The sequence below is a fragment of the Homo sapiens genome, chromosome 5, assembly GCF_000001405.40.
Source record: "Homo sapiens chromosome 5, GRCh38.p14 Primary Assembly".
NCBI lineage: Eukaryota > Metazoa > Chordata > Mammalia > Primates > Hominidae > Homo > Homo sapiens.
The window spans coordinates 16,066,888-16,094,422 of NC_000005.10; the positions used below are offsets into that span (position 1 = coordinate 16,066,888).

The window sequence follows — 27,535 nt, forward strand, 5'->3', positions numbered from 1 at the left end:
TTTTATCTTTTTACAAGCTCTCTGTTTCAGAAATTAGATAACAAGACATAAGTCCTAGACCATGCATTCCTGGTGACTGGTTACTTCAACACAGCAAAAAGTCATGCTTCAGTTTGCCAACCAGCACGAGGCACAAGAGCATCACCTCAGAGCTCTCTATGTTGCAGAACTGACAGGCACTTTGGAATCTGCCCACAGCATCCTAAACTCTTAACCATTTGTAACAGGTCTGAAAAATTACACACAGAGCGAAAGCTTTCATAAAAATATATTTAAAACAAGCAAGAAAAAATAGTTTTGGCCTTAAGGATAACTTTCATTATTCTTTTAACCAAGTATAGTTAAATTATATGTATAATGATTTCAAGTACCAACTTATAAAAGATGTGACAAACCAGACAACGAAGAACAAGAGGACTCTTTTTCTCAGAAAAATGTATTTGCAATTCAAATGTTCATATAAAAAGCATAAATTTTAAAAAGTTCATAGATGTGTTTTTAGAAGTGCTATGGTTTTGCCATTCACTGCAATTACATTGCAAAATGTGCAGGGTGGTCCACACTGCATCATCTTATGCTTTTGTCACACTGAAGTCACTCTCATCACAACCTCCCCCGAGCTGTTATCTTCTGATAAGTCTTCATGGGGCCTCATCCGATTGAACAGGTGCAATAACACATAGCCACACTGAAACCTTGGTGAGGTTAACTGAGTTGGGTGGACCAAGTTTCTGTTCCGCAGAGCTGTCAATGGCAACCACAAAGTCCTACTTGTGGAAGACTCTCCCCGGCTGCTTTCTTCGATGTCTGTGGCTTTGTCATAATTTAACACATCCCAGTGCAAATTCACAGCTCGCCAGCGCTTAAACACTCTGTAAACTGCAGCTCCTTCATGAACAATGAGACCTAAAATTTGAGAAAATAAAAAACCAAAAAGACTGGTGATAATCCAAGGCTGGGAGTGTTATTTTGTATACAAGTAAGGGATCCAAAAATAGTTATGTTATTCATCATCAGCAAAAATACAGTATTCTGTTTACTCAAATATTATGGCTAATGGCAAGTTACTACCCATATGACACAGAAATAATCCATTTTTGAAGAATGAGAATACACTAATATGTAGCGAATCAAGCTATTGTGGATATAATTTCCTTGCTCCATCATGGCTCAGATTTTGCTTTGGGAATTTATATTGCCTTAGGAGAATCATTAGGTTCATTTATGCATTTAACACATATTCTTGAGTGCTCATTGTGTGGCCAAGCAATGTGTTAGGGGCTTGAACCCAGCTGGCAGTTTAGTTTGAGAAAGAGACAGATGTTAATGTCATTACAGATACTAAGGTTACTGTTTCCCCAGTTCCTAAAACAATGCCTGACGCACAGTAAAAACCATGTAAATTTTGTTATTTGTACTCTCCTCAACAATTCAACAAAAATGTATTGAACAGTTACTTTAGAGCTTTATGAATATTATCCCATGTAGTACTCATCGTAGTCTTATAAATTTAAGTACTAGCACTTACCCCGTTTGGCAAACAAGGAAACCAAGCCTTGGGGATGTTCAGAAACGTGCTCAAAAACATACAACTAGTAGCGGTGGAGAGCAGGGATTCAAAAACAGGCAGGCTTGCTCCAGGGTCCTTGCTCTTTGCTGCTATAAAGTGAATCAGATCTTTCCACGTTTCTGAGACAGACTCTCAGGAAAATAAAGTAATACAGCAAACTTGGAAACCGTTAAGTCAGACAGGATGCACTAGCACATGTGTCATCTCCACTATCCACTCCAGATCTGTCACACACCCTGCATTTCACACATTTACATTTCAGCGTGTTGTCCAAAGGCTTTTGAATTCGTGATCCCTCACAAAAAGTAGTCCCTGGGGAAGGTCTCTCAGGTGAGGTGAAGTGAGGAAGAGCTCTTCTCTTTGAGGAGGCTGAAAGTCCACTGAAGTTGGTAGAGAGATCAATGAATATCCTTTGGTAGATGAAGTACGGCATGTGAGCAGAGCATGTCGGCTGGCACAACCATGTTTTAATGATAAATTTAAAAATGAGCAGATCCCACCTTTTAGCAGTTAGACCTTTGGGTATATGCCCTAGAGAAACTCTCACAAATGTGAACAAGGAAGTAAGTTAAAAAATGTTTACTACCTAATTGCCTGTATTTGAAGGAAAAAATTGCAAGGCATCTCAAAGTCTATCCTCAGAAGAATGGATAAATTGTATGTAGAACCAATGGATAAGAGTAATGAGATAAAATGAAACATAGTCATCTGCATTAATGTGGATACCTCTGAAACCATAATGACAATCCCAAAGTCACAATGAAAAAATTAAAGTTTCAGAAAGAAACAACCAGAATGAATAAATACTATACATTTTAATAAAGACACACACATATATATATGGTAGACATATAAAAGCATTGATGAGAATAATAACCACTAAATTCATGGTAGTGAAGAAGGAAGGAAAGAAACAAAATTGGGAAGTGGCTTCAAAGAGGGTTTCAACATTTGGGTGTCCCAAATGTTGCATTTTTTAAACTGGGTGGTGGAGATATTAATGCTCAACATATTATTCTGTGTATTTTTGGTGACTGAATAATTCAAAATTTCAAAAATAACAGAGAATTTATTAGAAAAGTTAATCTAAAGTGGATTTGGGGAGTTGGGGAGATAGTAAGGAGGTCACCGCATTTACATGAAGAGAAGAGTGATAGCAGTAAGGATAGGATAGAGAAATAAAGTAATAAATTCCCAGGGAAAACTGACAGAAACTGTAATGGAAGAAAGCGGGGAAAATCAGAGTCCCAAGTTTTTAAGGCTGGAGGAATGCGTGATTGAAAGATTGCTAGTAACCTTCCCATAGGTACAATGAGGTAAGTGTTTTGAGCATGTTTTTCTTGGACAGACTATTACCTTTTTCCATCAGATAAAACAATGCCAGGTGGTGATACAGCTACCCAGTCCTTGAAAAATGACACCTACCTGATGTCAAAACTTAAGTTTTGCATTGGTCCCTTACCAGGAGGTAAAGATACATGTGACTTACAAGCATTCCAAATATATTAATATAGGCTACAAAAAATGCATGTGGTCTAACAAGCAAACATATCTTAAGCCCAGTTACTATATATGACCAAAATAATGAGAAATGTAAACTTCTGTTCATCATAACAATTTCAAATAATTGTTTTTATCAACTTCTTTTTTCAAAGGAATAATCATAGTTGACCTAACCGATCAGATATTTTCAGGAAACAGCCAGAATGAAAAGTCAATACTACCAGATTTTAATTGGTGGTTCTATTATTAGCTTGCTGAATTCCCCATGGTCAATAATTTAACATTTCGGGTTCAATTTTTCCTCCTTAAAATGAAATCAGAACACCTAATCTTTACATTCAGCCAGGCAGTATAAAAATAAATTGGAATTCATCAACTATGAAGCCCTCACACTTCTTCTGGGACGGTAACTCTATAAATACAAGACATTATTATTAATTAAAAATCAATAGTGAATCTATGTGGTGGGGAACACACATTCGCACTAATCCCAAAACAATTACAGCCCGAGACAGGTTCATTCTGGGCAAGTCAGTGATGGAGGGTGCAGGGGCACAGCTTCACCAGAGGAAACTACTGACTTTGCAAGATCCTATTCTTTTCTTATTGATTTCCTTTGCAAGGCCAGAAATCAGATCACTTACTAGAGCTTAAAGTCACTTTCTGGGAATATATTCCTGGTAGCTCTTTTCTAAATACATAAATCTAACCAATATGCACAAACAAATCCCACAGGTCTTTATAGTACATTTTGAACCAAATTTAAAGAGAGAGAACTACTTGAAGTTTTCATGAAGACACAGTCCCTTTGAATTTCCAGCTCCCTAGGCTGCTTTTTAATTGCCGTAGGTTATGAACGATGTTTAGATTTTGTTTTATTCCCCAAGAGCATTCAGAATTAGTCCTTGGCCTCTGCAAGCTCAGATTTTACTGAAATGCAATGAATTCCATTCCCATTCCCAAGGCTGTTCTCTGTAACATGCATTTTTCCCCCTTTTTCTTTAAATGCTGTGGCGTTACGGCGAACACCTTTTGTGCTAGTGGTTATCAGGTGTGACTACTATGATCATTAAAGCCAGGGTAAGGATTCATTCAACTTTGGCTCATTCTGTTGAAAATCCAGCTTTTAAAAACTCTGTTAGTATGCTTTCTTACTGATGATCAAATGAATTGTCGCCTTGACATTTCAGTTCATATGCGAACAGGCTGACGTACTTTTTCATCTGAGTCACTAAGCTTACATGAAGCGAAAAGCAATGATCACTTCTATAAAACGTAAATACTGAATATTTTAGGATACTCACTACATTATTAACAGCATGGATATAAAAAATGTGATTCATGAGACTTTAAGGTTTTGAGAGTTGAGGAGTGTGTGCATGTGTATGTGTGGTTCGTTGGTTGGTTTTTGTCATTTTCTTACTAGTAATGTTTAACTGGACCATCACCTTACTGAAGCGCAAAGAAACATCTTTGTTAGAGATTAATCTTGAAAAAGCAGGCTTAAATAATTTCTGGTTTCATTGAATAAACAGTTTTTAATTTAAGCAAAATAAAATCAAAATTTTGAAGTAGTGTGTTACTTGAAATTCTTTCTAGTATTAGGCTATTTACCCAAATAAGTGATGGGGAAGGCTATCCAGGTACATATGGTCACATGCTCACATACTCGTGCACACACATACACATACCATTTGTCTATGTTTACTTTAACATGTGAAGTGTTATAATTAATAGAGACTTACAAAATGTATGATCAAATACAAACAAATTTTATCTGATTTAATTACCAAACCACTGGTCAAAAAATTCCATATTGTGTTACCAGTCTCAGCTTTTTTTTGGATAAGTTTGGTTGTTTTTCTGATTCATAAGATAAATTTGTATCAAGAACCTATTCTGTGCCAAATACTGTGCAAAGAGCTTTACACGCACAATTTTCATTTAATCTTGACTGCAACTGTACAAACAGGTACTAGTTTTTGTGTGTTTTTTTGTTTTTTTTGTTTGTTTTTTTGAGACAGAGTCTCGCTCTGTCACCCAGGCTGGAGTGCAGTGACGTGATCTCGGCTCACTGCAAGCTCCGCCTCCCAGGTTTACACCATTCTCCTGCCTCAGCCTCCTGAGTAGCTAGGACTAACAAATACAAACAGGTACTAGTTTTAAACAACCTTACAGTTGAGAAAATTCAGACCTAGAGAGCTGTCCAACATCATGAAGACAGAAGAATCAGAGCTGAGATTGGAACACAAATTTGTCTAAAATGTAAACCTTGAGTACTACAGTCCCATCCATCCTAAACCTCCAAAGTATAGAAGTCTCTTGTAATCACAGAATAATCAAATAAAAGAGGTTACTATGGACTAAACATTTGTGTCCCCAGTGAACTCATATGTTGAAGCCCTAATTCCCAGTGTGATGGTATTTGGAAGTGAGGCCTTTGGGAGGTAATCAGGGTTAGATGAGATTGTGAGCATGGGGCCTGCATGATGGGATTAATGCCCTTACTACAAAAAGAAGAGACATCAGTGCTCTCTCTCTCTCTCACTCTGTGTGTGTGTGTGTGTGTGTGTGTGTGTGTGTGTGTACATACACCAAGGAAAGGCCATGTGAGGACATAACAGGGAGATGGCAGTCTGCAAATCAGAAAGAGAGTCTTCAGCAGACACCAGATATGCTGCTGGCCAAATATCTGCCACAAGTTGTGTTATTTAGCTTTCCCAAGGGTCATTTTGATTGAACAGCACACAGAGTTTTGCCCTGCACTCCTTTGTGGTTTCATCAGGGGCTTGCATTTCCTGGGAGGGCTGGGGGTGAGTGTGGCTTCCCAGGCAAAGCTCTCATCATCTACAGTGTTGCTTTCAAATAAGCCTTGCCAACCCTTTTCTCCTTGTGGGTGGGAAGGGAGACGAGGGAGTGGATGCTTCACCTGCACTCCTAGAGGTATAATAATGTCAGTGACACACAAGGATGGTAAAGATAGAAACTAACTGTATAAACTTTGCTTAAATCACAAACTCCAGAACTTAATTTACTCATGTTTTAAACGAGGGTGATGCAGTTTACCTACAGTCCCAATACATCTCATATATTTATACACCCAAAATCTATAATACATAGATATAATTCCATGTCATTCTGAGAAGTGAGTGTGCACAGGAAGCAAATGAGGACTTTGGGCTCTGTTTAATCCCATGTGCTAGAAGAGCATTTTAGAGTCCATCTAATAAACTGGTGCCACTTTTGACTCCTTAATTTCTGCTGCTACTTGGTGAAGGCCAGAGCATGGTTGCTTCCAAGAGGATTAATCAAACGAGACTGTGGCCCAAGACATCCTTTGTTGTGATGATCTTTGCTAGAATATAATACAATGCATGAATCCTCCTGATGCTGTTTCTTAACCTACCCCAAACTTAAATGTCCAGGAGTTGTGGAAACTTAGATGTGAGTGTAGAGGTAATCACTTTAAAAGTCACTATCTATTGTTGGGTCTTGTTAATATGCATAAAAGCAATAACCATAAGTCATGGTTACTTCTGTAGGTACTGAATGTTTTTTGTTGGACTGAACTATATATGAAGCTATAGACATATAACTGTATATGAACTATATATAAATGTAATGTAAAGTAATATATAATATATAATAATATATATAGAACTATATCCAAATATATTTGCAAAATATGCAAAAGATAAAACGTAAAGATATAAAGACTGAAAAATACACATATGTCATCACAGAAGTCACTAAGCTCACAAAACATAGCTGTCATAAATTGATATCCTAAAACCCAGATATCTGGAAACTACAATGTCTTAATTATATATGAGCATTTTGTGAATATGCATCTCCACTGTTGTCCATATAAAAACAAATAATGTAAAAAAGTAGCCCACATAAAATGCACCTATAAACTGTACCCTAGAACAGATGGACTTAATAGATATTTCCAGAACATTCTACCCAACAACTGCAGAACATACATTCCGTTCATCAGCACATGAAACATTCTCCAAGATAGACCATATGATAGGCCACAGAACAAGTCTCAATAAATTTAAGAAAGAAAATGAAATCATATCAAGTAGTGTCTTAGACCACAGTGGAATAAAATTGGAAGTCAACTCCAAAAGGAATACTCAAAACCATGCAAATACATAGGGATTAAATAACCTGCTCCTGAGCGATCATTGAGTCAACAATGAAATACAGATCAAAATTTAAAAATTCTTTGAACTGAACGATAATATTGACACAACCTATCAAAACCTCTGGGACACAGCCTAAGTGGTGCCAAGAGGAAAGTTCATAGCATTAAATGCCTACATCAAAAAGTCTGAAAGAGAATAAATAGACAATCTAAGGTCACACCACAACAAACTAGAGAAACAAGAACAAACCAAACCCAAACACAGCAGAAGAAAAGAAACAACCAAGATCAGAGCAGAACTAAATGAAACTGAAACAAAAATACAAAAGATAAATGAAACAAAAAGCAGGTCCTTTGAAAAGATAAATAACATTGATAGACCATTAGCGAGATTAACCAAGACATGTTGGTTTTTCTACTGTTGACTATAAATGGTATAGAGCTTTGCTCTTCTCAGAATGACTGAGAACCATGTAAAATTCACAGAACCAGGTTGAGAATGGCACGTTGATCATCACAGCTCAAAGGCTCAAACACAGATGCATCATTACCACTGATAAAATAAAATCCTCCGTGCAAGAAACATAAGGACAATGAATTATTGTGAAACTTACCGTGACAATAAAACCCTTGACACAAAGGGGCTGGTTAATTTCTAAATATTGATGATCCAACCCACCCCCAAGTAGATAAAAGCACACATGAAGAAATGATTAGTGCAATAATGAAGATCCTAAATGAGGTCAGAGTTTCTCCAGGAGCACACACAAGAAAATCAGTGTTCATTCTATGACACTGACACTATGTCCCCCTGTCTGCTTCATGAAGTCTGCAGCCATCGGCCTGGACACAAAAAGCACATCTGTGCTGGATCTCCAATGCTGATGACACCACTGCCTGGAAGAACAAGATGGCAAAGCCCAATTGTCAGATGGAGTCTCATCTTTTACTAATTGGCAGTGAATGAAGCACACCCTTTTCTGAAAGGTTCTGACACAGGTTAAATTTGTCCTTATCTTGCCATCCCTGTTTTAGTTAATGACCATCCCCCACGTCAATTAAACCAGAAGCCTAGGAGACAACACAACTCCTCTCTGCTCTTGCACAAACTTCTGCTAATTCTGTCTTCTTGGCAAACCTGAGCTTAAAGCAGAAGACAGATAATTTCCTGGAATGCCCACTCTTACATTTGCACAACGAAGTATTAATTATGCTTCAAGATCCAGATTCTCTCACAATTTCTTCTCTGATGTACTCAAAATCAATCTTTCCCTCCTTCTACTGCCCACCACTCTACACAGAAAATATCTGCACTGATTTCCTTACTACCTGTACTATAATGATTTGCTTCTATGCCTGTAATCCCTAATCAGCTGTGTGCTCCCTGACAACAGAACCATGTCTTATTTGCCTTTGGGAACCTGTTCCTATCTCAGTACCCAGGTCAAAACTCAGTCTTTGCTGAAAGAGAGGGAGAGAGAGAGAGAGAGAGAGGAGAGTAGCTATCACTGGGATCTAAGGGGTCACAAGGAATGACTTGATCTAGTTGTGACTGCTCTATGAAAATAGAAAAGGATCTTGAGTATTGTTCTTTGAAAGGTTAAAGTAATATTTGCAGATGCCAAAGAAACTGAGACAGGCAGTTCAGGATGAGATTGGAAAAGAGTTTAGGGACTGGGGCCCATAGTTCACGAGTGGGTTTTGGTCTTTGGGGGTAACGGTGGTGAGGGGAACATATGGGCAGGGCAGAGGACATGGCCAGGGCAAAAGAACTAAAATTCTTTGAAAGGATCTGTGTTCAGCCCCAGCAAACTGTAGCTGTCTCCTCCACTGTCTTGCTGGCCAGGTCATCAAATGTTTGCCTGTATCAATCACAAACTGAGATACTGGGCTGTGCCCAGGCCTAAAACCTAGGAGACAGATATGGATTCCTCCCTGTCTTTTCAGGCAAAATAGAGAGAGTAAAAAGGAAATTGTCCATTCCTCTGACCTCTTGCTTTTCTAAGAAGCCAATGAATCAATCATTTAACTGATTTTTAAAATTCCTTGTAGATGGGAGTATCTCCTGATCTTTTAATTAGTAACCCTGGAGAACAAACCCACTACTGGCACATTCAAAGAATATTTCTCAAAAGCTGTGAAGGTTATATATTACAAAAAATATGGTATATCTTTTTTATCATTTTTTTTAAATGGATTAACAGAATTCACAGGAGAGAAAAATTGTTATATTATCTAAGTTTCTTCCCTACAGTGCTCAAGAAAATAAAACCATGGATATGTTTTTTCAATAAAAGAAATGAAAGAACAAGTCCAATACTTTTATAGATAATAAATATCATAAAGATATCCCAGAGTTCTCCTATAATTGGTAGAATGGACTGGAATCAGTTACATTTTAGTTGAATGAAGTTTCAGTTCTGTCTCTCAATTCTTGGACAGATGAAACACCTTGCAGCAAAGGGGGAGCATCATATATCACAGGGGTAAGAACATCAAGAGCCTGGTGGACAAGCACAGTCACCCAATTTCAAAATTAAAAAGTAGTGGATATAATTTAATCCAACCCTCTCACTTTGGGGAATAAGGACTCTGAGACCCAGAGAAGTGATGTAGTGTGGCTTGCTCAGGGGCCTGCACCTAGGAAGTGTCTGAGCCCAGAATCAGAGCCAGACACAGGATGCCCGTGTGCTTGCTCTGCAACAACTCAGACATCGGGAGCCATCCTCGGCCAAAGCCAGTCATCACCGGTGTCTCCTCAGCCTGCGAAATGGCCAGTGGCCAGAAGGGATATTACACTGACTATGAAGGAGATGACAGAATTAAATTAAAATCTCTTTTCTGTAACAGCAAAGGCTGAGATGGGTAAATTTTTCTCTGGCCTTTATCCTAAAGGGTACATTGCAGCGTTTGGATAGGATATAGGAGGATTACGGCAACCTTCACAATTTATGAATATAAATAACTCTGCAACCTCTGATTCAATGAAAACTGTATTTGGTTTAAAAAGCCTATCAGTGTCTATCTTCTGTGTTAATTTAAGGTTTTAGCATGGGGAATTGCTTTGGTAGATTTCCATTTGTTTCCCACACTCTAGTATATGGACTAAAGCCAGTTCTTAGAAAGAGACTTTCTAAGAATTTTTTCTAAGAGACTTGGTGGGCTTTTCCTAGTGGCAAGTGAAAATAAATACAACTAATTTTCTGTTTTTCTCCAACGGATAAACTGTCTACTGCAAACTCACAAAAAAAAACGATTTTAATAATTTTCACAGTAAACCATACATGTATTTGTTGCTCTGTTTTGGGGGAGCGAAAATAATATTTTTAAAGATCTAAATTGAAATGTCTAATTAAAACCTGTCTATCTTTGTGACTAGTAATAAGCTATTTCATTTTTGGTGGCTTCATTTTTCACTTCTCTTAAATCCTACAGGAAGAAGGCAAAAATTCCAAACAGAAACTACCATCTAAGTATAATTAAAATTTGTAACTCTTCTATTTCACTGCATGACATCAGTAAGATGCTTATAATTAAAACTATTAATGAAATTTTTAACCTAAATATAAAAATGCTCAGACAGTAGTTTTCTTAATATTCTATTCTATGTCCTAGTAAGAAAATTCAAGATTGGGATGTGATTCTTTACATAGATAATTCTTATTAAGAAATTGTTTCACTCAGAACCATGGGAAGAGAGAAATGGCTTTTGGTATGGTGTATTCCGTGTTTTCCATTCCCCTTAATAATGTTCCCTTTTGTTTTAGACTCTTTTGCACTCTATTAATTTAGAATAAATGAATGAATACTTTGGGCTTTCAAGGAAAATGTTTTCTCCATTTCTGATCTAAAATCAGTTCATCTATTATTTAAAAAGGTATTTACTCCCTATACCATGTCTTAAGTGTTTGAGACAGAAATTTAAATAGCTTCACTTTATTGTTTATATAGAAAACATTTCGTAAGTTCTTCAAGTTATTCAAGCTCAGCATATAAAGAGGGGTTTTTACCAAACAATAAATGGAAGTACGTGGGTCATCTTACTCATTACACAGGCTGTGGAGTGACAGGGTCTGGGTTCTTATTTTGGGTCCTGCTCACCATCTGTTTGATCTTGGGGAAATTGCTTCATCTGTGCCTTTGTTTTCTCATCTCTCAGATGAGAATAACAGTATCTGTGCCTCCTAAGGTGGTTATGAAAATTAAGTGGGAAAATCGAGGTAAAATGCTTAGAATGTTGCCCAGATCACAGTAAATACAATCTTAGATATTACTGGAGATGCATTTTTAAAAACCCTATGTCAAATTCTTTACTTGGAAGTGGCTGAAAACATCTATGGGCTTCATTTCTATGCTCAGCCGTGTGGTTCTCGATGGCCCAGAGTTTGTCTCCCCTGCCCTGCTGGTGCCCACGGTTCCACATCCTCAGTGTTCTGCATGGAAGCATCATTTAGAAGAATGGTCATGTTCACATTTCTTTGAAAGAAAGTTCTTTGGTGCAAAATAGTACAAATCCAACAGTTCCCCAGAGGGGCAGGGTTCGTTCTGAAGTACAATCTTCAGGTTTTCAGGTTAAGGGAGTGGCCTCCTCTGGGCCTTCCCCAGTGAGGGATGGGGACAGGTGGCTCTTCTTGTAATGGTGTGACCTCACTGCTGCACAGTCTACTTTCTGCTTTCTCTTCCAAGGAAAGCCTCCCATTCCCATGTTGATTTGGCCTCTTACATAAGCTCACTTTAGACTTCCTGGGGATACACTCAGATCTCTCTGAGGCTATGCAGTTGCTCCTGAGCCTCATGTGTTTGGAATTCCTACAGCCTCTCTTCTGGAAAGCCATGGAGTGACAGGGTAAAGCCACACAAAACACACACACGTGCACACTCATATATGGGATAAAGCCATGGGAGATGTGTCCTCCTGGCCTCTCAGCTACCCTCCATGGTGATGGATGGTTTGACCCCTGACTCCTGAGCCTGCTCCATCCCCCTAGACCCATGTGATTCAGGGTCCATGTGGATGGCTTGGCCTAACATACACAACCTATTGCCCTCTACTATTCATCCTTTGCCCCAGCCTGGGCCTTGCTCTTCCAGAAACCATTCCAATTCCAAGCTCTGAAGCTCTCCCATCCCATTGTTGACAACCTCCAATGCCTCCCACTCACCCACCTTCTTAATCTCAATGCACCCACTTCCACCTCCTAAAGACTTTGAGGCCCTAGACCGCATGATCTTTTCCCAATGCACCACCTTCTTTCTGGCTTTGGATCCTTCCCTAGCAGCCTAGAAAGCTAAGCCCATCCTGGAGCCCTTCTCTCCTCACTTGAGGGGAAAGGCAAGGTTGGTCTTGCTGCTCTGCCTTCCAGAAACTCTGGAGAACAAGACCCAATCTTAACCCAGTCTCACCACTTCACCTCTCTGCACTTACTCTTCATCCCTATTGGGCAACAGCCCATAGCCACATGGCCTTGTGGATCTTGTGGCCTTGCTCTGGCCTCAAGGAGGTGCTCAGTCATGCCCAGTGATTCTGCAGGGGGCTCAGCCTCCTCTCCCCAGGGCCCTCAGCAGCTGAGCATCACATTCATTGCTCTCCTCCGAGTCTTTTCCCACATTGTGCTTTTGTCTAAGCAGATGGCCACACTACCTACTTACTGAGAAATGAGGCATCTTTTGAAAGGAGGCCTCTCAATGTCTCATTCTCTCAGAGCAGAATATACAGCTGCCTCCAGCTGTGCCCACCTCCCCTCAGGACACAGGATCCCTCCTGTGCAAGGCAAAGCCCTTCCTGGGTGCTGGGCTCTCGTCTCTTCAGTCCCAGGGACATCAAGCTGCCCCTTCCCATCTCTGGATTTTCACTCTTTCTTCTGATTTCTTCTGGGTCTTTCTTTTCAGCATCCACCCACGCCTAACACTACTATTAAAGTAAACAAACAAAAACCTTTCTCGATTCCACACCTCCTTCTGGCTTCTACCCTCATTTAACTGTGTCCTTTGTCAGCTAAGATTTGTGAACTCACCTCTGAACCCCCTTCTGCCCATCCCAGCCATTCTCAATTCACTGCGGTCTCGCATCCATCCACGTTACCCCCACATTGCCAAGTCCAGTGAGTGATTGTTGGCTTGACTTCACCTAACCCTTGACAGAACATCTGGCACTGTTGGCCACTTGCTCCTCCTCCTAGAAGTTCCCTCCTCCTCATGTGCCTGACCCCACTCCTTTTCCAGCCACGATCCTCTCCCTCCCCTTCCTGTTTCTCCACCGTGTTCCCCAAACTGCTGCTCCTCTCACCAAAGCATTTCTCTGCAGACACTGGTTTCAACTACCAGATACAAATCTCCAGTTCCAACCTCTAGCCTGAGTTCCAGACCCTTAAATCTGGGTGCACACTGGCCACATCCACTTGGATTCCCCAGAAACTCTGCAAAAAGAAAACACTCAGAATGAGCCTATGACCTTTCTCTCCCTTAGCCCTCTTCTGATAGCCAGTGTTTTAGCAACTGATGGCCCATCTCCCAGTCAGCCTCTGTGAATGACACTTGAGGGTCTCTTGCTCTTAGCGCCCCCACCCCTTCCATCCTGCCTCCATCCAGCTGATCACCATATCTTGTGATTAATCCCTTTTAATTCTAGCAGCTTCCCAGCAGTCTTAATGCAGGCCTAATCAATTGCCTGGGTTATTATAATATTTCTCACTTTTTCATCCCTACTCTCCTTTATGTTTCCACGCTACCAAACACCTCTCTTTAATATTAATCTTGATCAGCCACATTCAGGGATCCTTCTGGGGCTTCCTGAGCATTCAGTTTGGTCTCCCTCCCGAGCTCCACCCACAGGCTCCTTTTCCTTACTGCTATGCCTCAACAAACATCTTTTGTTCTTCCCATACCAGATTTCATACGATGTCTTTAAAAATGACAGGACTTCATACGTTACTAGGTCTAGGCTTTTGCCTCTCTCGGGGCCCCATCCTAATTCCTGCTCTTCCTTAAAATTCTTCTCCCCCATAGACTGCTGGTCCTAAGTGTAATTAACCTTCCCCATTAGCTCTCACATACATTTCTCTCCTGGCACTTTCAGGCTATAATTGCTTATTTCCCTGGCTGTCTCCTCTTCCTCAGGTGGAAAGTAGGGAATTGTTATATTCCAGGGCTCCACAAACCTTTTCTGTAAAGGGCCAGATAGTAAATCTTTCAAGCTGTGCTAACCTTTCATTCACTGTCACAACTTCTCATCAACAGCACATAAATACATGGATATGGCTGCATCCCGGTACAACTTTATCCAAAGGCACCAAAGTTTAAATTTGCTACAATTTCCACATGTCATGAAATAATATTTTTAAAAATGTATTCAACCATTTAAAAACGTAAAAGCCATTCTTAGATCCCGGGCTGTACAAACACAGGCGGTGGACTGGATTTGGCCCTCGGGCTGCAATTTGCCAAGCCTTGTTCTATTTATACCACTATCCCGCACTCCAGGCTCAGCACCACGGTAAATACGCAATGAATATTGGCTCGACAGATTACTAATGCTGCTTTGTCTAGACTGCCCCCAGTGAAAGAGACAACTGACAGTGTCACACTATCTCCTATGGAGGAGACGAAACTCAACAATAACATATTTGGTCTGCTGTTCTGCTAATTATATTAATGTTTATCCATAAGAACTTGAATTTTACAGAGTCAAATAAGAGCAAAGTGTTAGGTTGGGGTGTTTTCCCCCCTTGAGGGGGCCTTAAAGGGTTAACTAGCCTTGAGAGGCCATTCCATGCACAGCACTAAGGGGCAAGCAGCAAAAACAAGTTCCCTTCTATGCTATTTCCCAGGATTTTAAAGGCAATGGTATCACTCATAACCAACTATGATAATAATCTTTAGAGACATCAGTGAACATCAGTATGATTAAGGCATAGAAAAGCCCATAATTTGTACCTCCAGAGAAGAGAAAAAAATAATGGCCTACTTCTCAAAGCATATAAAGGATAAAGCGTTGTTTCTCCTCTGACAATTTCACATCACAAAGGGCTGCTCTGCCTCCGCTTTCCAGGGGCTTTCCCAGTATGTGCTCAAAGCATGAAGGATCCGAGGCAGGGACTCCTGTTGGAGGATAAGCTGCTGCTTGTGTTTCAGGCTCATCACGTTGAATCAGACTCTCTCTAAATGAAGCTGAGGCATTTCCTGGGGCGCGAAGCATGCTAAGATAGTCTGAAGCCAGGAAATAATGATCTGTGCTTGTAAAGGAATTCTACTCAATTTAAGAAATGATTCCTAATGAGCTACCAGAACATGCCAACCTGCAACAGTCATGTCTGTGTGAGTAACAGACACCAGGCACGGCCAACCTCACAGCCCAGGGCTCCTCCACTTGGGATGAAATTTGAAGGGAAACTCACAGGGGTTTGGGCAAGAGGAGAAGAATGTTCCTGTCCTTCCTGCAGAAGCAGTTGTGCAAAGGTCGCCTTAGTAGTCAAATTGTGGTGCTCAGGAAAATGTAGTTCCCAGATCAAATTATAAATCAGGAAATGGAAGCATTTCCTGCAGCAGAGGCGGGTGATATACTTCTGTCTGGAGGGAAAATTGCAGTGATATGAAGTCTCCAAAAGGAAATACTAGGCTAATCAACTCTCCTGGTTATTAAGCTAAATAGTGTTTAAAGTGAGCTTCATTCTTCACGTGCCCCATGATTTATGCAGACACATCCACGTTAATACTTCCCATGAAACTCAAAATGAGATAGACACAGCAAAACCACCTCCTATAACTCGCCTGCCATGTAACCCAAAGTGTCAGCCTCAGCAGGTAAGCAGCCTTCTGCACCCCCACTCCATGGGTGAATGCTGGCTGACCTGTCAACTTCCAAAGCTCGGCTATCCTCAGTGACCCCAGGAGCTCAGATTCCAGGCTTGGTAATGGTGGCGGTGATTGAGTGGTAATCAAATGGTTGGATTTGGGCTCCAAAAGTCTTGTGATGAAAGTCTTTTGATGAAAATTGATGACACTTTTGAATGGTGTGCAGCTGCTCTGCTTGTACAGCTCTGAGATGCACGGGGCTGTTGGTGGTTGGCAGCTGTGGTCTCCACTTCCCGTAGAGAAAGTATCTTCACTGTGCAAGTGGTCCCGAATCAGACCACACTGGATTCTGGTGGTCTTGGCTCTCCACAGGGAGACCAGGAAAGAGCTTAGTCTACTCAGACATCCCCAAACCACATAAGCCCTAAAGTCTTCAGTGGACATTTTGATTGTTCTCTTGGTAGTTTTACATTCTTCACTTGAAACTACCTGATAAATTTCATATTTATTCATAAATATTTTACAGCTTAAGAAATCGCTACCTATCGACAACAATCCAAAGGCCTTACCAACAATTACACTTTCAAGCATGCTCGTCTATGGTTCATGAACCTGTGTGGCAATGAACTTAAGGCTCTCCTGCGGTCTTGGGCAAACTCATTTTTTTCTGCTGTAAATTATGGCATATTTCAACTTCTAATGCTAATTTCTTTCTCTTTCCTTACACTAGGTAAGTTTTTAACCTAAAATAATTTAAGAAATCATTGTCAACTCCTGAATCATGCTGAGAGATACCGGAGGGCATGAAAAATTTTTTAAAGGAGATAGTCTAAAAGTCATGTGTATTTTGTTTGAAATGGATTAGAATTTTTTTCTTTAGCAGTAGATTTATTTACTTAATTATGCTTTCCTTATTCTAGCTGGTTTATATTCATAGAAAGCAAACTACAAGGAGGACGACGATGACCTAAAGGCATCATTTTAGGGGGAAGCAACACTGGTTTTAAATAGACAAGTAGTCATCTTCTATGTGGGAAACTTATTTGTGATCACAGAGTTTGATTATCCTGAATTTCGTTTTCAAAATTCTTCACCTTTATTCATACAACACAGAGTTAGTAAATGTATATTTTAAGTTTCGTGTCAATAAAATGTTAGATTACGTGAAACTTTTAGCTACTCCATCTGGAAAAAAAAAGTAGCAAAGTTAAGCAGGAGAAAAATATTACCCTCACTTTAAAAAATGTAAATATATGTCCAATATAATCCATCTAAAACCATAATAATACATGGTATTTATTATGCTGAAATTCTATAATGAAATGTGAATGTATTACCAACTGGTAATTCAAAGTAGTTTTCTTGTGCATGCCAAAGTAGCTCTAGCTAGATATATTATCAAATAGGACAAACAGATTTTTTAAAAGGCTATAATAATAACTGTAAGAATTTACATAGGCCAGGTGCGATGGCTCATGCCTGTAATCCCAGCACTTTGGGAGGCCGAGGCAGGCGGGTCACTTGAGGTCAGGAGTTGAAGGCCACCCTGGCCAACATGGTGAAACCCCGTCTCTACTAAAAATACAAAAATTAGCCAGGTGTGGTGGTATGTGCCTGTAATCCCAGCTACTCAGGAGGCTGAGGAAGGAGAATCACTTGAACCCAGGAGATGGATGTTGCAGTGGGCCAAGACCACGCCACTGCAATCCAGCCAGGGTGACAGAGCAAGACTCTGTGTCAAAAAAACAAAAAAAAAAAAGAATTTACATGGATTTAAAGAAAAATTATTTCATTTCAAAGTACAGGAAAATAAAAGTTTGTTGGAGAGCATGAACTTTCTGTAGAAGGAGCAGTTTTTTTTTTTTTTAGTATTAAATATAACTGGTACAATAAGAAGATATTTTTATCTGATCCTCATTCTGGCATATCTCAGGTTATTTTTAAAAATTCCCTAATCTCTGTAGCTTTCAAAAGAAAGACAACATAAACAATTACATTATACTTTAATTCATTATTTCAAAAGAGCCTCAAGAGAGATATTTTTGGTTCCTCATGGGTATACATCAGGGATCAATCAGGGATCAGAGTGAGTGTGTGTGTGTGTGTGTGCGCCTATATCTCTTCCATTGTCCATGCTTGTGCTTTGAGAAATAAAATAATATGAAGAACAGGCAATAACAGGATCAATACTTTAGCCACAGAGAGAGCTATTTTTCTTGAAGCAATTTCAGGAAGCACTTTCTACACTAAAAAGAGACAAACTAAGAAATAAAATCCCCGTAGCGTTAAAATTATAATAGATTTTTTTTTTTAAAGTGATCCAAAAACTCCTAAAGTGTGCTGAAGAAGGCAGGGATTTTGAGAGGCAAAGGTCTCTGATCTTGATCAGTTCTTAGTGTTTACAGATTAGAGCTCGTCTATGTCCCTGCATGTCGCATCCCTGCGATCCCAAAAAACATCAGGCAGGATGTGCTGCACATTGGCATGACCTATGTGAGCCATTTTTATTTTTATTTTTTAGATAAAATTGTCCCACAAACTTAAATAGCTATGGAATTAATTTTAAGAAAACTACTCGAATGGTTAAGTGTAGTTAAATCCACTGATTAAAATGTCAAACAAGTGATGATATCCATAGTTGGCATGGTATGAGGAAAAAGGACCTCATATGTATCGGTGGGTGGGGTCGGGGGGGGGATAAACTGATAAAGCCTTTTTAGTTGGCAATGTAAAAGGACTTATCAAAATTTACATAAGCTTATTACTCCGCCGGGCGCAGTGGCTCACGCCTGTAATGCCAGCACTTTGGGAGGCCAAGGTGGGTGGATCACGAGGTCAGGAGATCGAGATCATCCTGGCTAACACGGTGAAACCCCGTCTCTACTAAAAATACAAAAAATTAGGTGGGCGCCTGTAGTCCCAGCTACTCAGGAGGCTGAGGCAGGATAATGGCATGAACCCGGGAGGTGGAGCTTGCAGTGAGCCGAGATCGTGCCACTGCACTCTGGCCTGGGCGAAAGAGCAAGACTCCATCTCAAAAAAAAAAAAAAAAAAAAAAAAAAAAAAAAAAAAAATCTTATTACTCAACCCAGACTTTCCACTTCTCAGAATTGTGCTAAAAGAAATATTCATGTAAAACGATGTCCTTTACAGCATGGTCCCTAAAGGCAAAAATTGGTAACAACATACAAATTCATCAGTAGAAAAAAGTTTAAATACATTGTTGTACATCTGTCATAACAGGGAAAGATCTCTAGATTATATCGTTGAGTGAAAAAGACTATTTTCTCAACACCATGTACAGTATGATCTCACTTATAAATAAAATGCGGAAGTATCCATTTACCTAAACCCACGTAAACCTAATGAAAAAATCTGGATGATAAACATCAAAATGCAGAAAGGGGACATTTCTGCAAAGGGAGTAGCATAGCAGAATTGGGGGTGTGAGTTAAGTGGTCTTTTTTTAACTTTATAGATTTCACAATTATAAACACAAATTTCACATGTGTTTGTATATTATGTGGACAATTAGGAAAAATTTTAAGAGACCAAAGCAATCCGTGTTTTTAAGTGTTATAAACATAATCAGTATCTTCCTATAGTACTTGAGGGAAGATCAAAACATTTCCAGACTTGGATTTGCCATTAACTTGCGGTGTTGATTAGAGCTGGTACAAGCACTACTATCTCTATTTTGCAAATACCACTGACGATAACAGAGTTTTGGTTTGCTGCTTCTATTAACCAGAACTTGAACTCACCTCATCTGGTTCTATCAGATGCTAAAGTGACTTGGTGACAGCCTTCACCTTTTAGATGCAAGTTAATCAAATAAATCCTGTCATCACATGGCCCTCTTCTGGTCCCTCAAACTTTTAGTCATTAATAAACATATTCTTCTTGTGGCACTAGCTTCCCTTGAATCAAAGGGTCAATGGAAATGATGGTCTTCTATTTTTTCTCAAAGTGTCCAGGGTGGAGTGAAGAAGCAAATCCTCTGCCCAAGGCCTTCTGCCGGGCAGGTGTACTTCATTTCTGAGTTTGCTCATCTTCCTTTGTCCACTGTGCAAATCTTTTTTAGTGGGAAGCCAACATGAGCTTCCTCAGCTGTTACTTCTCCCTAAATTACTGCCACTAGCTTAAATCCTAAAGTGACTTAAATCCTTTCTATTAGTTTTCCTGATTTACAATCATGCCATCTATTTAAACAAGTAGAAGCACTCCCCAGATATAATCTCTTTACATTCTAATTTCCTTAAAACAGATGTGAACTTTGTAATAAGTACAGATTGAAAATTAAATTCACATTTGATCCATAGAAGTATTCTTAAAAACTCCAGTAACAAAAAGAGTCATTTGTCAAACATGTCTCTCCTTTATCACTGTCTAACTCTTGGCAATCACACATACTTTAACACCCTTCTCTTAATTCTCAAACTCATTTTCACTTTATTCACCTCTCTTGGAAAAGAATTCCTTTATCACTTAGGAAATGCAACCCATTTATAGAGACAAAGGGAAACCTGTTATTCAAGCTCTTATACACTTACCATTCCACTATGTAGAATCTGTGTCTAATATAATAGTCACTAGCCACTTGTGGCTATTTAAATTAAATTGAAAATTAACTGCTCAATCTCACTAGCCATATTTCAAGTACTCAATGGCCAAATTTAGCTGCTGTCAATAGAATTGGATGCCACAGATACAGAATATTTTCATCCTTGCAGAAAGTTATTTTGAATAGCCCTGATCTAGATGTTTCAACTATGATAGCGGCTAGACCCTTGAGCGAACTCAAAACGTTAATAGCAAGAAAAAAAAACTAAATATTGGGAAAGAAGAAACTGTATTAATTATGAATGAAAGCAACAAACAAATTCACTGTGCCTAGGAATAAGTAAATAAATTTCCCCAAGTAAACAAATGTTCTCCAAATCTTAACTTCTATTTAGCAATCCAACTCTCCCAAGCATTACATAGACTGGCTGGATGATAACATTTTTGGATTCTGGAATAATCTTCTACAGATTTTCAGAATTATTTTTTCAAATAATATTTATGAAGCTGCCAACCTGTTTCTTCTACTTAGGTAGAACCAAGTTTGGAAAGCTTGGACAGACAGGAAAGAGGGATGTCTCCAATTACATTAAAATCCTTTGAATGGGGAGCCAATCTCACATCTTCCCATGGCAAGTAGGAGGCCAGCTCTCTATTTGCCAAGTATCTGTTCATCTGCTTGGCTATTGCTTCCCCATGAAATCGGCCTGAAACCTTCCTCTCCCTACACACAGCACCGCAGAGTTCATCCCTCCTGGTGTTCAACTACCCCTTCCTGTGCATACGTCCACAACTGTGCACATCCCACTGTATTCTAATCACTTACTTACCTGCCTGTCCTCCTCATGAGCTCCTTGGGGAAGGAAAGTGGGTGACTCTTATTTTTATTCACAGAACCTAGCACTGTTCAACACATAGAAAGTTCCTAGGAAATATTTATCAAACTGAGCTGAGGAAATGGGACACAAAGTTGTAAACCTACTTTTCACACTAACACTGCCTCTAAATCTTCCAGTCGGGAGTATTTAAGGAACAATCAATATAATCTTTGTTACTGTCTGCATTTAATTTGCAGACATGTGAATTAATTTGAAATATTAGCAGGAGATCTTCGGGGCTGCAATCCAATTGGCTATTGTTAGACTAGGAGTATTTTGCTTTCTTTACTATAATAGTTTCTTAATTTACTGGGGAAAAAAATTAAGATATTCTCCAAGCCAGAACAGACTAATTAGTGAAACTGCCAAGTAAAATAAACAATGTTCAATCAGAATTCTTTAATTTTTTTCAAAATATACAAATAGATCATGGAATGATAAAATTAGGATTTGATGAGCCAAAACACAATGAAAAGTGCCGTCAATATTTAAGACTCAGATAAAATACTCATTCTCCCAAGTATCTCCAGAAAAATGGCAACTGTTTTTGTTTCTAAGAAATTTGACTTTATAAAATGGGCAAATGCTCAAATTTCAAAAGAGAAGCTTGAAATTGTCATATATTACTAAAAGATTATTTGTTCATATGTCTCTGCTCTTGAAACCAGAACTGTAATAATCTTGATCAAAATATTAATATTAGTCATCAAAATTTAAGACATAATAACTCAGCACTAAATGCAAGTTCTGAAATTAAAAAAAAAAATCATTTCCTGACCAGGAAATGCATGGTCTTTTTGAGTGTTTATACTGAGGGCAAGAAAGTCAACTGGACTTTTTTTCCTTTCCAGGTTGGATTGGGAGCTAACTGGCTCTTTTATTTTGCATCTCCCCTTTTAATATCAATGGAACACCTCATTTTATATCATTCATGCTGAAAGACAGAATAAACACTGTCTTTGAATGTGTTAAGGGATTCAATTTGTGGATCAATTTTGTGATTCTTCTTTATTAGAGCAATGCCCTAGAGATTATATTTGAATAAAGATTTAGAACTTCCAAATGCTTTCATATGCATTATCACATTTCATGCAAACTGTTCATATACATGATTAGCTCAATTATTCCGGCAACATCTCTTCAGTTTATATATTATTCAAAACATTTCATTCTTTTATTTTTTTCTTTCTGGCCTGAAATTTGATCATTTTCTTTCCTATTAGACTTGTACTAGTGAGAAAGGAGGAAAGAAAAAAGTAAAAAAAAAAAAAAATCATGCTGACAATATTTTAAACATTTATAGAATTCTTTTAGAAAAAATGACTGAATATATTAAAATTGCTAGTCAAATTAAAGCTCTAGTAAGTAGAGGCATTAAGTTGAAGTGATCTCAAAGTTATTCAATGTTTCCAACTTAATCAAATATACTTAATCTACAACTTCTAATTAATAACATAATTGTTTTATAATCATTATTTCCTTTATTTAGACTTGCATGGTTGGAATTATCCTTTGCATTTTTATAGGTGAGAAAACAGAAGTATGGAGGGATGAAGGTGACCTGCCCTGGCAGAGGCCCAGATTGGAAACCAAGTCTCTTGATCCCAAGCTTAGCATCCATCCGCTGAAGCTGGTAGTCCTCAAGCTTCAGCATGCATCAGAACCTCAGAGGGGCTGTAAAACCCAGATGGCTGGGCCCCACCCCTGATGTTCCTAATTCAGTAGATCTGGGTGGAGCCTGTGCATTTCTGCCACATCAGAGCAGGAAAATGCTCCCAATGCCGTGGTACCTCCCCACAGCCACCCACACTGCTCTACCCCTCGCCGACTGGTCACCATCGCGATGCCTGTGCACCTCACACACGCCACATAAATGCTGCATGATTGGCTTCCGTTTTCTCACAGTACTAGGGAACAACAGATGGGTCAAAGGAAACACCGAAGTAACGTTTTTGTAGGGTTTATTTTAGCTAAAATGTTCGATACTTTTTCTCTTCTAAGTCACTGAGTTTATTAAGTAAAACAAAGAGACACAGGCCAGCAAGGAAAACTGTTCCCAAGTCCCTAACCTTCCAAGGGGTCCCTTTCTGCCCTTAGAGAATCTGCACAGTCATCATGATGTAAGACATCGAGATGTCTGTCCTCTCCCCAAACGCACAATACAGTACCGCCATTTGCATCAGCCAGGACTTCCCCAGCTTTGTAAAGGGAAACTGGTTTGCTCTCATTCCTTAGAAATAAATTACTATCCTTATATCACTCACTCCAAATAATTTATTCAACCCTTCCTCCTTTCTTTAAGTTGCACAATATCTCACTTTAAATGGGCATTATCCTGTTAATTTTTTTTCAAACTACACGGGAATATAGATGCTATGCTTTCTTAGAAAAGCAGCCCAATTGTGACCCGCAGCTAATTCATTAACAGGAGAACTGAGATAAGTCAATCCACAACATTCTCTATTAGATCCGAATGGTGAAAACGTAATCGCTGAAAGAAATGGATTACTGACAGTGTGTTAACGTTGAAGGTCATGGTCTTACCTATGCACACTAGATCCATAAAACCATACATTCCATAGCAGATCTGAAAAAGGATGTCCTTCCTCTGCCACACTGCATAGGGGCTGAAGGCTGACCAGAGGAGCCAAGTCACACTGGCTATTAAGAACAGGGATCCTAGGATTACAGCAATCATCTGAACTTTCTCAACCAGTGTTATAGAAATGCTCTGCCACTAAAAGAAAAACAGAGGCATGTAAGAAAGGAGCTGTGTATAATTAAAAAAGAAAAAAAAACATTTTCAGTCCTGTGTTTCTTTTCATAATGTTAGACCCTTTGAAATCTGATGAGACCCCAAATGAATTTTTTCATTTCATCCAGGCTATAAAAAATAGAGAAGCAGATAAAGATTAATGACTTGCCTTAACTTCATTATTTTCAGTAATTCACCATTCTGTAAGTTTAATCTAGTTTGATTCCAGATAATAGTACTGAGTGTGAATGGCTAAGGAATATTTAGTATCTGGAAATCACATTATTATCTTTCATGCATGCACGAAATTAAATACACTCTGAACATACATGGTGAGAACTTCTCTATCTGGTAATTTAGTTTGCTCTTAATACATTTGGCTACTGCAAAAAGAGGGAACTGTCTCTTGTTTTTGTAGAAAAAAATGTAAAAAGCAAATAAGTTATATAAGAACATCACTGAAAAAGTCATTTAAGATAACACACTAGAATAATCATAAGAGAAGTATAAAATTGTACATTATCTGTTATTGGTACATTCCATATACTCAGATATTACTGACTTTTTATTATCTAATGGGTAAGCCATGAAGTATTTTTGTCAAGATTTAGAATTTGTACCTACATGAAGTATCTTTGAAACTCACAACCATTTTCAGCATGTACGCTTCAGTGGGGCAAATAATTTGGTGCCCTAAGTATCAATATTCAAAAGAATTTACAGTACAAATGATCAAAAATCCTTCAAGACTGCTATTGACTGGAGAGAATTAATTAATCATATTCTCACTTTTGCATAATTGAAGCAGAAACGAAACAAGAATTGTTATTAAGGTTTGCCAGTAAACCATGAAACTCAAAACAACCCGCATAATTTACTCATCCTGTGTGGAAGAGCTCTGGCTATGGCAACATATGGCTTCTCAGAAGAATTCTTAAACAGTTTTTTAAATCTTTAAAAAAATGAGCTTAAGCAGCCAGTGTCCATCGGATCAGTCTGAAATTTCGTCAAACCCTTTACTTACCTTCAATCTGAACTTATGCATCCCCAAATGGCAAGTTTATGACACTGATCCTCTCTCCCTCATTGTCTGTCTCTCTGTCACTCTCTCTCTCTCATACACATACCATAAATAAATAATTTACATGTAACATTTTTAAGTATGTATGTGACCTTGCATATTCATGATACTATTAAATTCTACATTTGTTAAAGATTAAATACCAATGTACATTTGAAATATTTCATTCTCTAAAGTCAATTACCTTATTTTTGTTTTAAATAACAGAACCGAACAACACTGTTTGGTGAAATACTGTGAGAAAGAGATTGCCATTCATTTTAATGTAAAGATTAATTTAGTGAGAAATGGTTTGTGCTTTTACAATTCCGAATGAATAATAATTAAACTATTTCATAAGTGGGAGTTGAACAATGAGAACACATGGACACAGGGAGGGGAACATCACACTGGGGCCTGTTGGTGGGTGGGGAAAAAGGGGAGGGAGAGCATTAGGACAAATACCTAATGCCTGAGGGGCTTAAAACCTGGATAACGGGTTGATGGGTGCAGCAAACCACCATGTATACCTATGTAACAATCCTGCACGTTGTGCATCTGTATCCCAGAACTTAAAAGTAAAATAAAATAAAATAAAAAATAATTAAACTGGTTGATATTATTTTGTCATTACAAATGAATCAAGGCTGTATTCCAAGATGTGTCTGAAGTTGTTTTGTTCCTAGTTTACTGACATAATTTTAAGTACATTTATTCCAAACTGCCAGGCCTTCATATCTTTAACCATTTTAAATCTGGTGTCACCAAACAGATATGAAGTGTCAGTATCTCTTGCTCTTGTTCAGTTTTGATACTCACTAAAATTTGTTTTGAATGCAATATGGTGAGCAACGAAGAAAATCGCTATCAACCATCCTAAATGGGCGCTACCATGTCTATACACGTTACTTTACCCTTTAGCAATTTATTAGTCACATCAGATAGATGAAAAACAAAGCATCCTTTAAGTCCATGAAGCGTGTTTGTGTGTGTGTTTGACTTTCATATGGTGGGCCGCATGTTCGAAATGTGTATGCCGGAACTGGAGGAGTCCTAGGTAACCAAAGGGGAGTAACAAGGATTCACCAAGAAGAGACTTTACTGATATCTATTTTCTGTTTGGCAATAAGTCTATGATGTAATCTTAGGGGAGTAAATTTGAATAGCTCAAAACTGCATAATGAATTATATTTGGCTTCAATTAGGCCTACTAATTAATTGATCCAAGCCTCCTTGCATGATAATTCACCGTGGTGTCTGTAGACATAGTGTGGCTAGGCCCTACTGAATGCTTGGATTTGGCAGGATGGAAGTGATGGTTGGATGCACTGGCTGTAGTGTTTCCTGGGACCCAGGAAATCGAGTGGCCATGCACTGACCCTGAGGTGCCATCCTCTTCCATTTTCTGTATGGCATGCTTCTGACACATGAGGTGTGGCTGCTTCTAGGTGAGGAGGGTGAATGAATGAAGGGAGAGGCTCACCAGAAGCAAGAAACAGGGACGCTTCACGCTTGTTTTGGTGACAGCAAATTTAAATTTGTGTACAATTCAAATGCTTGGCAGTTTGGAATGAATGTGTTTAAGATTATGTCCGGAGGCAAGGAAAAAAAGAACAACCTTTGATTACAGTACACTGGGAAGCTTAACTATTCACTATCATCATAGAAATTATTTTTGTTGTAAATATAAGAAGTAATTTGGGATTTTTGAAGATTATTTTTTAAAGAAGGTTAAATTGTACAAAATCTATAGTGAGCTCCCTGAAATTTTTTTTGGTTTTATATCTCTCTGCTAATAATGCAAATATGCAAATGTGTTTACAAGTAAACAGACGTTCCTCATATACTGATGAACCTTAAAATTAACATCATTTTTGAATAATTAATGAAGACACATCATTACTGAAACCAAAATTACTAAACTCAATTATAAACACAGGAATTTCCCTTTGAAGACAGCTATCATCTTGGTAATTTCTCTGCCCACTATATACGGTGCTTTCTTACATCTACCATTATGTGCAAAAAGGAGGGTTGTTCTCATTCTTCCGCTAGAAGAAATAATTCTGCCTTCGACCAGTAGAAAACACTCACCCAGTGTCCTTGTCCTTGGAGGGTGTGCATTATCTAATGGGTTCAGCCTGAAGGAGCTGTGTTAATGGGCCATTTGCTTCGATGATAAAAGTAGAAAATAAGTCTCGTGGGACTTCTCTCTCTATCCCAATGTTATATCCATAAGTTTTGGAAATAATCCAAAGGCCAG

The 27,535-nt window shown here is 38.7% G+C and overlaps 1 protein-coding gene across 2 annotated transcripts in view; it reads right to left on the reverse strand.

Moving 5' to 3' along the window:
- Positions 1–251: 251 nt before the first annotated feature.
- The window catches only part of MARCHF11 (membrane associated ring-CH-type finger 11), a 112,653-nt gene continuing 85,369 nt past the window's right edge, over positions 252–27,535 (reverse strand). Inside the window, exons 3-4 of one of the 2 annotated variants that reach the window (NM_001102562.3) lie at positions 24,002–24,194; positions 252–906 (exon numbers count right to left, since the gene is read on the reverse strand). In NM_001102562.3, coding sequence (NP_001096032.1) covers positions 584–906; positions 24,002–24,194 — 516 coding nt within the window. In that variant the 3' untranslated portion in view covers positions 252–583. The remainder of the gene's footprint in view (positions 907–24,001; positions 24,195–27,535) is intronic. The other variant, XM_047417230.1, reaches the window with a different exon arrangement.